The sequence below is a fragment of the Homo sapiens genome, chromosome 2 (genome assembly GCF_000001405.40).
Source record: "Homo sapiens chromosome 2, GRCh38.p14 Primary Assembly".
NCBI lineage: Eukaryota > Metazoa > Chordata > Mammalia > Primates > Hominidae > Homo > Homo sapiens.
Window position 1 is genome coordinate 214190078 of NC_000002.12, and position 13793 is coordinate 214203870.

Below are 13793 nucleotides of genomic sequence, written 5' to 3' on the forward strand. Positions count from 1 at the left end.
TTACCTTGATGCATGCATATAGACATATGTAGCCACACACCTGTCACTCTCTACACAGTCATACTACAATGTTACTAGAATATGCTCCACGTCTTTCGTCTGTGTCTGCCTCAATACTGGTAATCTCTCCCCTCCTCCTGGCATTACTCTTGGAGTGAAAGGTAGTTGACTAAGATTAAAAGGGAATATGAGTGGGACCTTTACAAGCTTCCTCTCCTCCCTACTTGCCAGATTGTGTTGTTTGCTTTGGAATTTATATAGGAGAAATAATTTGAAAATTTTTGAGCAGTGCACTTCAATTTTCTTCTTCATATATGCCCCCAAATTTTGAAAACGAATATATACCCTCATATAAAATTGATAGCTCAAATTATTTTTATAAATTTAAATGGCTACAAAGACTATTATATACCCTTGTATACAATTGATAGCTCAAATTATTTTTACAAATTTAAATGACTACAAAGGCTATTATCTCCAGCCTGTTGTATATGATATATCATCACAGATCAAATCTTTATGTCTGCCTCAAATTCATATGTTGATGTCCTACCCCCAAATGTGATGGTTTTCAGATGTGCGGCCTTAGGTTTAGATGCCATTATGAGAGTGGGGGCCCCATGATGGCATCAATGTCCTTATAAGAAGAGAAAGAGCCTGGAGCTCCCTCTTCACCTTGAGAGGACACAGAAAGAAGGTGGCCTTCTGCAAACCAGGAAGGCGCCCTCACCAGATCTCATGATAGCACCCTGTTCTTGGACTTCCAGCCTCCAGAACTGTGAGAAATAAACTGTTGTTGTTTATCAGCTAATTGGCGTATGGTACTTTGTTACAGCAGCCTGAGCTAAGATAGAAAAGTGCTGTAAATACATATTTGTCAAAAGCTTGTAGCGACAGGTTTAGATTATTCAATTTATAGTAAATGGTAAAAAGCCAGTCCTCATTATCAAACCAGTCTGCCAAATCAGGCTTACTATGGGTCAGAAAAGCCTACCTCAATTATCCATTCTTCTTCTGAATTCTAGATAGAATCACAGAATGACAGAATTGTAGAAGAGGAGAATGATCAATCAATAGATGGACAGATAGGACAGAGACCACCTAGCAGAAGCAGGGGTCCTTCACTGAGATATTTTTGATTTAGTGAGAAAAAAGGCACAGCCACTTTCAATAATGCTTATCAGAACTCTCTTTGGTTCCCTTGCTAGACTCTTCCAGTGGGAGCTATGCATTTTCAAATTGCCCCTTCGTTGGTATACCAACTAATGTTATACCTTGAGCAGTAATTTGCTCCTCTTTAGTAAGGTAGGAAAAGTGTGATGATGAAAACAGAAGTTAGAAAGGAAAAACCAGGGCCGGGCATGGTGGCTCACTCCTGTAATCCCAGCACTTTGGGAGACCAAGGTGGGCAGATTACTTGAGGTCAGGAGTTCCAGACCAGCTTGACCAATGTAGGGAAAGCCCATCTCCACTAAAAATACAAAAAATTAGCCAGGTGTGGTAGTGCATGCCCCTAATCACAGCTAGGTGGGAGGCTGAGAGAGGAGAATTGATTGAACTTGGGAGGCGAAGGTTGCAGTGATCCAAGATCATGCCATTGCACTCTAGCCTGGGCAACAGAGTGAGACTCTGTCTCAAAAAAAAAAAAAGAAAAAAAAAAAAAAAGGAAAAACCAGGATGCTGTGAACCAATCATAAAAAAGAGTTCACATAGAATTTGAGGTTCTAGAAAACGATTTCCGTATAGTTATGTGTCCATGTACTTATAAGAATTTATTTGTGATCCCAAGGGAACACGTACAATTTGAAGATCCTTGCTTAAAATGGTTTTAATATGCAAATTCCTGAGCTTCATTTCCATTAGTTTCTTATTCAAGCAGTCTGAATGAATCATTGGACATTACTTTGGGAAAAAAAAAACAGGACTAGGACAAAAGAATGGATTAGTAAGGAAGTAAATAAATATTGCTCTAAGAGAAGCTAAAGAGTTTACCACAAAGGTTGAAAACTCTGTGAAGACATGCAAGTTTATGATTCCTTTCTAGGTAGAAGTTTATGACAATTTGAACAAAAATTAGAGGGCTTCAAGAAACGAAGCATTCTACCTTTCCAGTGATGGTGTTCATATTAGTGACAAGTTCAGAATATATTAAGGAAGGCACGCAAATGATTGATATAGAACAGTGTAGTCATTTTCTCCTTCACTGCTCATCTTTCCTTAATGTTTCTTTTTTCCTGATGCCTTAAGAAAATAGTGCCTGTGTGAAATAATTAATGAATAATGTTAAATTTGTTACCGAGTAACTTTACAATCCTGGTGAAACTCTTTATTTTCTATTTCTTAGAAAAAAATGGAGATTTGTTTCTTCTATGAAAGATTGGTTCTGCTGTCTCAGGAGCAAAATTGAGGAGAAAATAATATTTTGTTCACAGAGTTTATTTAGCTGTGTTTAGCTATGCTTTTGTAATGTATTCTTTCAAAAGCTGTTTTCTTTTCTCTTTGTCATATACTATAGTTTGTTCTGTTTATTGCACTTAGTAGTATTGTATATTCCTTTATTTTTTTTGTACTTTTCCAAAGAGACAGTTCTAATATTTTATGGCATTTGGGATGGTTTTGTTTTTCTTAAGTGTCTTTCATACACTGTATCTTCTGGTTAACAGAGACCCATGGGTAAGCAAAATACTCTGTTTACAAAATTGTGCCCATATATGATTATTACTCTCTTGCTGTAATGCATTGTAAAAAATAAGTAATGAGACTGCAATAAGCTTCTGTCTTACATCAAGTTCCCCTAGAACAGCTTGAGATTTTGCAATGGGGATTTGTATGCAAGAGAGAGCTTTTAAGAGAAACCCAAATGGAATGAGAGAAGCAGATCAGGGAAGGGACAGAAGCCAAGTGACGATGAAGTTTTAGCTCAAGTCTGTTGTCAGCCTGGTCCTACAAGGACCTCTGCTACATGATCAGTACTATAGAGTTGTCCCATCTAGAGGCAAAGCGACCAAGCTTTGTATCCCCATATCAGTCGGCTACTGGCTGTTAAGGCCACTGGTATAGAGGGTGAGGCATAATTTCTCAGACATTTCCAAGCAAAATGGATTTTATCAAAAGGTAATTTTAAAAAATACATCTATGAGCAATTAGCAGCCAACACTTCCAGTAGCTGGTGGATGGGTGCTGTCCTGACCAGAGAAAGGGAACTGGGAGGAGCTCTGGTCGCCTCTACTAGAACTGCTGCACCAAGATACTCATCCAATTAAAATTTTAAGAGCTTTTGCTAAAATTCATTAACATCTAATTCAAAGAGATCTTTTATGTGTGTGTGTGTGTGTGTGTGTGTGTGTATGAGAGAGAGAGAGAGAGAGAGAGAGAGAGAGAGAGAAGGGGGTAGAGCTCAAAGCTATGTCTGCCAAGATTTTAGGCAGAATGGTTCAGTTAAATAAAAGGTCCTGGCAGTAATAAATCTGTGTGATTTATTTGCTGTGTAACCTTGAGTAGTTACTTAACTTTTCTGAATCCAGTTCATCATCTCTGCAACGTCTGTCATGGGTAGCTACCTGAGGATTATTGTGAAAAAAATGTGTGTCAAGTTGCTGACAAAAGGGAGATACTCACTAAATGATGGTTCCTATTTTATATTCAGTACAGGTTATTGTCCTCCATTTCATGACCTCAGACACTTGCTTTGAAAACAAAACAAAGAATAAAACCAAGTGAGAAAATGTGGCTATATTGGTGCAAATGTTCTCTCTACTGCAAAAACAAAACAAAACATTCAACACTAAGTATCATCTCTGTGTAAAAAAGTAGATCATTTAGTTTAATTTCTTTAATGATAAAATTCTCAGACACTACCAACGTTAAAGCAATGCACCATTCAGATGCACCTTTGCACCAGAAAAAATTGGTTGGCATTCTTTAGAGATGTTTAAAGAGAATTACTCTTTATATAATACTCAACTATTATAGTCAGAAAATGCTAAACATGACTTGGACAAGCAAGACATTATTTAAGACTGTAACTGACTCATTCTAAAGCAATGCATTATATGACCAGTAGGCTCAAATAGTTGGCGAGTTGTCATGGGGCTTTTGCTTTTTCTAGCAATACATGAAATGGCAATACATGAAAATTCACTTCAGTCTTGATTAAAGACAAAATATGCCCTGGATCTCCAAAATCTACTATAGGCAAACCTGTCTACCTAGATCATAATAGTCATGAAGTATATGCACTAATACACATATGTGTACTCATAGACTGTATCCTCTTCCTCATACTTGCTCAGAAACACTATACTTTTACTTTACAAACTATTCTAGTTTGTATGTTTGGTATCTGAAATTACAGGAAAACTGGAAGCAGGAAAATGAGATAGAAGAATGGTACACACAGTAAAACTTCACATTGTCAAATTGACATCTAACAGCCCAGAGCAATAATTCTTCAAATTTGTGTCTGTTTTACTAGCATAAGACATATTTGTGCACATTATTGCATTAGATCTTTATAACACAATAGAGGTTTGCTAGTCAAATAAATATTCTCATTTTACATGTGAAGAATGACTCAGGATGTTTCTGACACTTTCAAAGTCACAACATTAATAAAATGGCAAAAAGGGATGTCAGATGCATATAGTAGATCACAAAATTTGCATCCTTATCATATTGTTAGATTTTAAGAAAGGAGGATTTTTCCTGATAACTCAGAAAGCCCTGTTTCTGAAACCATTTGGTAAAGGGAAAAATTCTGCACATTTACTACTACGACTGGAATATGTAACCATATCTTTTAGTTAATACACATTTATTACACAGCATCCATATGTGGTAGCCATTGTGTTAAACTCTGGGGATTTGGGGATGAATAAGTAAAACATAGCGTGGCCCTCATAAAACTTATAGTGTAATGCAATAGGCAGATAACAGTAGATACAAAAATAATTATAATACATTTTGAATTACATGAATGAAAGAAAATAACCAGCAGAAGCTACAGGGATGGCCTCTTGAGAAAGTGCTATTTAATATGAAACCTAAAATAAAAGGAATAGTCTGCCAGGAAAACAAATAACACTTCCAGGCACAAGGAATGATGTGTATAAAAGCCCTAAGGGTGGAAAATTCTTTGCAAGTTCTAGGAAGAGTTAAAAATGTAGGAAAAGGCAGAGTGACCAGGGGAAGATACTGAGTTCAAACACACACAGATAGATGAGAGATGATAGATAGATAGATAGATAGATAGATAGATATTTGAGAGATATATAGACTTGACATATTTCAAGCACAGAATGTTATTATTCAATTCACATTTTACAAAGATTACTCTAACAACTCTAGGAAAAGAATTACAGGGGGTTAGCATTAGATATGAGGAGACCACTGATGGGGCTGTAATAGAAGTGCAAGATTGAACTAGAAACAGTGGTGGAGGTGGAGATAAGTGATATATTAGAACAAACTTTGCGCATAAAACTGAAAGGGCATGGTGATGGATTAGAGATGGGAGTGCAGAGGTGAGTAAGGCAAGTGACTTGACCCCCTTGGCTTTCTGGCTTGATCCAGTGACTAAATAGTGTCTGAGGTCATTACTGAGATGAAGAAGACTGGGCAAAAGTAGAAAACAGAATCAGGAGGGAAATCAGCAGTTCATGTTGACACTTGGCAAGTCTGAGATTCCTATGAGAATCAGATGAAATTCAAGTAAAAAAAACTAGCTATGGAAGTCTAGATTCTGACGGGGAATTTCAAGCTGGAGTTATGAATTTGAAGTCACCAACATTATGATTTTATTTAAAGTCAAATAAACAACTGCTATCTTCCAGGATCACAGAGAGAGTGATATTAGTAAAAATGCCCAGGACTGAGCCAGAGGAACACCAGTACCTAGTGGTCTTTCTACTATATCACAGTACTTCCTTAGAAAAATGTTCAAAATAAGTGTAAAAAGTTACCAGAACCAGAATCGCCCATATTTAATAATAATGAAAATTTCAGGCCCTTAAAGAAATATTTTCACTATGTTTTCTTAATCCCGTGTTGAATGTCATAACCATCAGTATTGTATGCCTCGGGAAGGTGGAGATATAGGACAGAAGGAAGAAACCATGCCAGAGAGACAGAAATCAACATGCCATTTCAATCTTTCCCCTTTGTTCTTTGAACTTCTCTACCGTTTTCTCCCTGTGGAGCCTTGGCATCTTAAGATCTTGATTATCAGAACTTAAGCATGAAAGAATTTCTTGTCTTGATGCCTTATCTCTTCTGCATCCAGAGGAACTTCATGATGTTTAGATACCACTTAACAAATACGAAAACAGAAAAACTACCCTAAGATAGTAGACACAGAGGCCATCCGTATTGACTGTTTAATAGTTCAGGGATTGCACAATAAAGGCAACTATCATTGCTAAATTCAGAATGGAAGAATGGTAAATATCACTTAGTCCCAGAATATTCTCCTAATTCCAACTGAAATATACACTACAAACCAAGAAAAATGCAGAAGGTGCTCAGAAACTGCAAAGAAAATAATTGGAAAAGAAAGAGTGAAACACAAAGAGTGAAACCAGTCTATATGCCTGTTACATTATTTGTGGTTGAATTTTAAAACATGCATCATATACAAACTAGGAAAATTTCTTAATTTAATTGGATTTAACATTTAAGTATCAAAAGCAGAATACTAATTTAGCTGAGCTAAGAATAATGTAGGGAAAACCTGAAGGATAGTATAATGCACTGAATCATATAGCACAATATAATCCATCAAAACCACAGAGCCTACAATTTTCTCGCTTTATATTCGGTTGAAAAATGACTTCAGAGTATGTGCTTATAAGAATAACTGATGAGAAATCTAAGTGGAGGGAAGACCACTTGATGCCAGCTTCTTATGATAATGTATAAATCTAACAGCCATAATTAATAATAGTTAAAGGCTTAAATGGCCCTGGGATATTCAGTTAACAGAAGACAGGTACACCTGCCAATATGAAGCTTTGAAACTTGCTTAGAGAAAGTTAGGGCAATTAACCTGACTATATTCCACTCAGTTTTGAGTAAAAATGAATGTTATGAAAATAATGTAGGTCAGATATTGACTTGCAATATTATTTAGAGTTCTGATACAATATATCTTAAACACTGTTCAGTCATTTTGAAATCTGTGAATAAATCTCAACATGTAATTTATACAGACAAAATAAATAAGAAAAATGCTTACTGAGTTTATATTCCCATTTTGGCGTTAATATCATTTTTAAAGGCTGTTAGCTTTATTTGGAAGTCAGAGAATTTCTGAATTAATAAAGTTCACATTAAAATAAAACATCATTGTTTTGGACATAGTCTACAATATGAATGGACTATGTATAATGGACTATGTATAATGGACTATGAATGGACCATACATACTGTATGGACTACAGTATGAATGGACTATAAATAAATCTCCATAGTGAAAATTCTCAAATCTCCTACACATTTACTGAAAAATTAAAATATCATTGTCATTGCAAATAAAATATTATTGGCATTATTAATAAAACTGTTTTGGGTACTCTATACAACTTCTTTTAGAGGTATTTTCTCAGATTTTTGTTTCATCAGAGTTCTACTTCTGTTATTTACATTTTGGTACTTTTCATTGTAATGTATGTGATAGCTATGTGTGGTAACATCAGTTTACATTATAATCACCTGTGTTTTTTATATGTGTTTTTCCACTGAATTAACCTATTAATAAAGTGAATATTAAACACCCAGATTTCTAAAATATATATATATTATGAAATAAATATTATCATATCGATTCTCACTCTTTTTATCAGTAAAAGGTAATATTTAGGCCCAATTTGCTATTGACTTTTTACCTGGCCATTGGGTGAAAATGGCCCAAGGTTTTTGTAATCAATGACTCCACAAATAAATCGTGTATAATCTTATAGATAACTTGTTTTCACTTTATTTCAAACATGGTAGCAGAATTGACCTCTTTTATTGTGTAATTTTTATTTTTATTTCAATAGTTTTTGGGGTATAGCTGGTATTTGGTTACATGGATAAGTTCTTCCTAGTGATGATTTCTGAGATTTTGGTGCACCGTCACCTGAGCAGTGTACCCTGGACCCTATATGTAGTCTTTTATCCCTCACCTCTCTCCTACCCTTCCCCCACCCACTGAGTCCTCAAAGTACATTATATCATTCTTAGGCCTTTGCATACTCATAGTTTAGCTTTCACTTACAAGTGAGATTATACAAAATTTGGTTTTTCCATTCCTGAGTTAGTTACTTCACTTAGAATAATGGCCTCCAGCTCCATCCAAGTTTCTGCAAAAAGATATTATTTCATTCTTTTTTTGGTTGAGTAGTATTCTTGGTGTAAATATACCACATTTGTTCATTAATTTGTTGGTTGGTAGACACTTAGGTTGGTTCCATATCTGAAATTGTGAACTGTGCTGCTATAAACATGTGTGTCCACGTATCTTTTTCATATAATGACTTCTTTTCCTTTGGGTAGATACCGAGTAGTGCAATTGCTGGATCGAATGGTAGTTATACTTTTAGTTCTTTAAGGAGGCTCTATACTGTTTTCCATAATGGTTAACTAGTTTACATTCCCACCAGCAACACTGCTGGTGGCAGTGTTCCATTTTTACCATATTCATGCCAACATCTATTTTTTTTATTCTTAATTATGGCCATTCTTGCAGGAGTAATGTGGTGCCTTATTATGGTTTTAATTTGCATTTCCCTGATAATTAGGGATATTGAGCATTTTTTCATATGTTTGTTGGCCATTTGTATATCTTCTTTTGAGAACTCTCTATTCATGTCTTTGTCCACTTTTTGATGGGATTACTTGTTTTTGTCTTGCTGATTTGTTGAGTTCCTTGTAGATTCTGGATAGTGGCCCTTTGTCAGATGTGTAGTTTGTGAATATTTTCTTCCACTCTCTCAGCTGCCTGTTTATTCTGATGATTGTTTCTTTTGCTGTGCGGAGGCTTTTTCATTTAATTAGGTTCCATTTATTTATTTTTGTTTTTGTTGCATTTGCTTTTGTGGTCTGAAGTCATGAATTATTTGCCTAAGCCAATGTCTAGAAGAGTTTTTCCGATGTTAACTTCTAGAAGTTTTATGGTTTCAGGTTTTAGATTTAAGTCTTTGATCCTTCTTGAGTTGATTTTTGTATAAGGTGAGAGATGAGGATCCAGTTTCATTCTTCCACATGTGTTTGTCAGTTTTCCCAGCACCATTTATTGAACAGGGTGTCCTTTCCCCAATTTGTGTTTTTGTTTGCTTTGTCGAAGATCAGTTGGCTATAAGTATTTGGCTTATTTCTGGGTTCTCTATTCTGTTCCCTGGGTCTACATGCCTATTTTTATACCAGTATCATGCTATTTGATAATTATTGCCTTGTAGTATAATTTGAAGTCGGGTAATGTGATGCCTCTAGATTTGTTCTTTTTGCTTAGTATTGTTTTGGCTATGTGGGCTACTTTTGGCTCCATATGAATTTTAGGATTGTTTATTCTAGTTCTGTGAAGAATGATGATGGTGTTTTAATGAGAATTACATTGAATCTGTAGATTGCTTTAGGCAGTATGGTCATTTTCACAATATTGTATCTTCCCATCCATGAACATGGAATGTGTTTCTATTTGTTTGTATCATCTATGATTTCTTTGAGTAGCGTTTTGTAATTTTCCTTGTACAGATCTTTCACCTCCTTGGTTAAGTATATTCCAAAGTATTTGAATTGTTTTGCAGCTGTTGTAAAAGGGATTAAGTTCTTGATTTGGGTCGCAGCTTGGTCATTTTTGGTGTACAGCAGTGCTACTGATTTGTGTACACTGATTTTGTATCCTGAGACTTTACAGAATTCGCTGATCAGATCTAGGAACTTTTTGGATGAGTTTTTAGGGTTTGCTAGGTAAACGATCATATCATTAGCAAACAGCAACAGTTTGTCTTCCTCTCTTCCAATTTGGATGCCCTTTATTTCTCTCTTCTCTTGTCTGATTGCCTAGCCAGGACCTCCAGTACTATGTTAAATAGAAGTGGTGTCTTGTTCCAGTTCTTGGGGGAAATGTTTTTAACTTTTCCCCATTCAGTGTGATGTTGGCTATGGGTTTGTCATAGATGGCTTTTATTACTCGAAGGTAAGTCTGTTCTATGCCAATGTCGTTGAGGGTTTTGATCATAAAGGGATGCTAGATTCAATCAACTACTTTTTTACATCTATTGAAATGATCATATGATTTTTGTTTTTAATTCTGTTCATGTGATGTATCACATTTATTGATTTGCATATGTTAAACCACCCCTGCATCCCTGATATGAGACCCACTTGATCATAATGGATTATCTTTTTGATATGCTGTTGGATTTGGTTAGCTAGTATTTTGTTGAGGACTTTTGCATCTATGTTCATCAGGGATATTGGTCTGTAGTTTCCTTTTTTCATAACGTTACAAAGAGGGGGAGGTGAGAGGATTGCTTGAGCCCAGGAGGCAGAGGTTGCAGTGTGCTGAGATTGCACCACTTCACTCCTGCCTGGGAGATAGAGCAAGATCCCCATCTCAAACAAACAAACAAGATCTCATAAAATATAAGTTTATAAAAATTGTAATCTGATAAAAATTCAAAGTTTATAAATTCGAGGTTTTTGAGAAAACAATTAATTTTAATGTTTGTGAAACAAATATAGAACATGGATACACAGACAATATTACTTAACACCAAAGGCCTGTCTCCTTTTTCCCCAGCCCATTAGCTTTTGATTCAAGAAAATAAATCAAGTTTAACATATTTGATAAATAATAATTACCACACATGGGAAGACATTGTCTGAGACACAGAGTAATTGTAAAGAGAGTTGCTTCTTCCGGCCAATTAACAGGTGATCCACTGGATCAGCTCAGCTTTTGTGTTTGCCCAGATACTAGGAAAAACTTCTGGAAAAGTGGTGTCAATATCAAAGGGACACAGACTGGTATTGTTTTGTGGATCAATTAGCAAAAATAACTGTAAATGTCTCTTTTTCTAAAGACGGAGCCAAATTTGTCTACAGGGCCACAATTAAGTAGCATAAATTCTTACTTCAGAGTTGGTGCTTCACCATCAAGGTATCAATAAAATCCAAAATAGAGATTCCTGACTAAACACTTTCGATTAGTTTCTTAAAATCTAGCTGCTAAGTGAAAATATTTAAATAATAAACATTTTAATTTACTTGTAATAGGGGAAATTAAGATATATCCCATTTCAGCTAGCTAGTTTTCCTGCCCTTGAATACATGAGAGATACCTGCAAACTCTAAGCTTTCATATGAATGAATTCAGGCCTCATTAATGCACAGTACATGACAAGATAGACCTACATGTGGTTTGCATTTGTATTTATGAAGATAGCCATTGGAAAGAATAAGTAGCCATATAAGGAGGATGTTAAAAGTTCCTACAAAGAACAAACATTTCATATATTTAAATGCATCAATTTTCATACATTTAACTGGTGTGCTACTGAGGTCATATGCTAGTTAGGTCACTTCAGCATGTCCTCTACAATGCCTGATATGGGATAGACTACATTTTATTGGCATAACACCAACCAAAATTCTGGAATAGATTATATGATATTCTCTGGAAATAATCTTTTGGATCAAATTAATTAATGAGTATGCTATTGCCTGAGCTGCAATGTCAAAAATCACATTTCTTTCTTTTCTTTTCTTTTCTTTTCCTTTCCTTTTATTTATTTATTTTTATTTTTTAGACAGGGTCTTGCTCTGTTGCTCAGGCCAAAGTGCAGTGGCACAATCACAACTCACTGCAGCCTCAACTTCCCAGGCTCAAGTGATCCTCCCACCTCAGCCTCCAGAGTAGCTGGGACTACAGGCATACACCACCATGCCTGGCTAATATTTGTAATTTTGTGTAGAAATGGGGTTTTGCCACATTGCCCAGGCTGGTCACAAACTTCTGGGCTTGAGTAATCTCCCTGCTGGGCCTGCCAAAGTGCTGGGATTACAGGTTTAAGCTACCATGCTCAGCCAAAAATCACATTTCTTATAACACGTTTATTTACTTTGGATGTGGGAGACGTTACACCAACAAAGTCAGTCATTTAGAAAGAAAGAGTTTAACTTGAAAATTTTTTTACAACCTAAATACATTAAATTGATGGCTGCCTTATGATATGTCTGTATTTAAATTGATGACAAAAGTATTTACAGAAAGAAAAGAGGGATAAGGAAAGATATTTGAGCAACATGGGAGGGTTGCTGATGGACTTTGAAGGACATAAATGACTAATATTTAATCTCAGTCTGTCTGTGTTCCTAGAATATGAAAACCTTCAGTAAGGTAAGGTATATTAATACTAGGAAAGGCCTTGGATGAGTATTTAATGAAAATTATAGAGAAGGGATAAATTCTGACTATGGTCACCATCGGGGCAGAGGTAAATTATCCTCAAGAAAGAAAGATTGAAGCCCCAAAATCCATAGAGGTAGGGAGTAGGAGTCAGAAGTGATCACGAAGCCACATGCACTGGCAGGAGTTTGAAGCAGTTTTAAGAAGGAAGTTGCACTTCCCATAAAATATGAAAGTTGGGTTTGAGCTAATCTGATCTACATCTTTAAGGGCCAAGAGACAGAGAATTGAATCTAAGATACACAAATAAATGGCCAAAGCATCAGTCTCCAAACAAACGTATTCAAATAGAAAAACAAAGGAAATAAATACTCTATTTTGAATTTTCTATTAGTGCCACCAGAGAAAGCATCACAGATGTTTTCCGGCTATCTCCTAAGCTGTTAAAGAATATGATTCTGTGAAACAGACCTGAGAGAATTGCCTTCTCTTTTGGTACAAAAAAAATCTAAAGTTTCATTTTCTGAAATCTCTCACGAGGTGAAGTCAGTGTAGAATACCAAAACAGGTTTTAAATTCTGGAAACCTAAATTATTCTCTTTTATGTTGTCAGCAAAGGTGCTTTATTCACACTAAATGAAAAATACAGTCTTCATTTTTCTATATCTGTGAGAGATTTATAATTGAAAATAAAGATAATTATATCATGATAAATATAATTGGATGATGTCCAATTTAAACATAAACTTCCATATTACTTTCAATAATGTGTTTTATTTTATTTTCTGGTTCTGGTATATTTCTAAGTTCTTTAAAGCATTTAAGTTGAAGGGGGGAAATGGCAGATAGGAGGCAGGACTAACTTTCAGCTCCCACTCCAGTGGATAGAGCAGCATGTGGAGACTCAAATCGTGAATTTTGGCTCCAAGAACTACCACAGGAACATACCAGAAAGCCGAGAGAATCCACAGACCCTTTGAAGGAAGCAGAGCTGCTGCAGGCCCTGGGAGACAGCCAAAAAACTGTGACTGTCCAAAGTATGAAAGGGGGATCATCGGCCTGAACACACATCCTCACATCCTCACTGGGGAACCTCAAGTTCCAGATCAGGGGATAAGGATTTGACCTTACCTGGAGCTGAGACAAATTTAGAGAGCTGAGTAAAATATGGGAATAGAAGAAGCAGTGGGAAGAGCCCTGTGGACACTCGCGGTCCCCAGGGAAGCCATTTCTGACTTTGTCTCCCAGGGGTCCTTGGGGAGGGCTACCAGAGGAACTGGAAAAAGACCACAGGAAGAAGGAAATTTCCAGCTGAACTTCGTAACAATTTCAACCAAAGTTTCCTGGACGGAACCTGGAGAAGGGGGCGAATCAGGGGTGCAGACAAGCACAGAAGCTGTGGCAG

General features: G+C 36.1%; 1 protein-coding gene across 13 annotated transcripts in view; it reads left to right on the top strand.

Moving 5' to 3' along the window:
* Positions 1–13793, top strand: part of SPAG16 (sperm associated antigen 16) — a 1126038-nt gene that overhangs the window by 905614 nt on the left and 206631 nt on the right. Inside the window, exon 16 of one of the 13 annotated variants that reach the window (XM_011511817.3) lies at positions 2345–2388. The exons of the other annotated variants lie outside the window; for them this stretch is intronic. Coding sequence (XP_011510119.1) covers positions 2345–2373 — 29 coding nt within the window. The 3' untranslated portion in view covers positions 2374–2388. Of the gene's footprint in view, positions 1–2344; positions 2389–13793 lie in introns of those variants that run through there. 13 annotated transcript variants of the gene reach the window in all.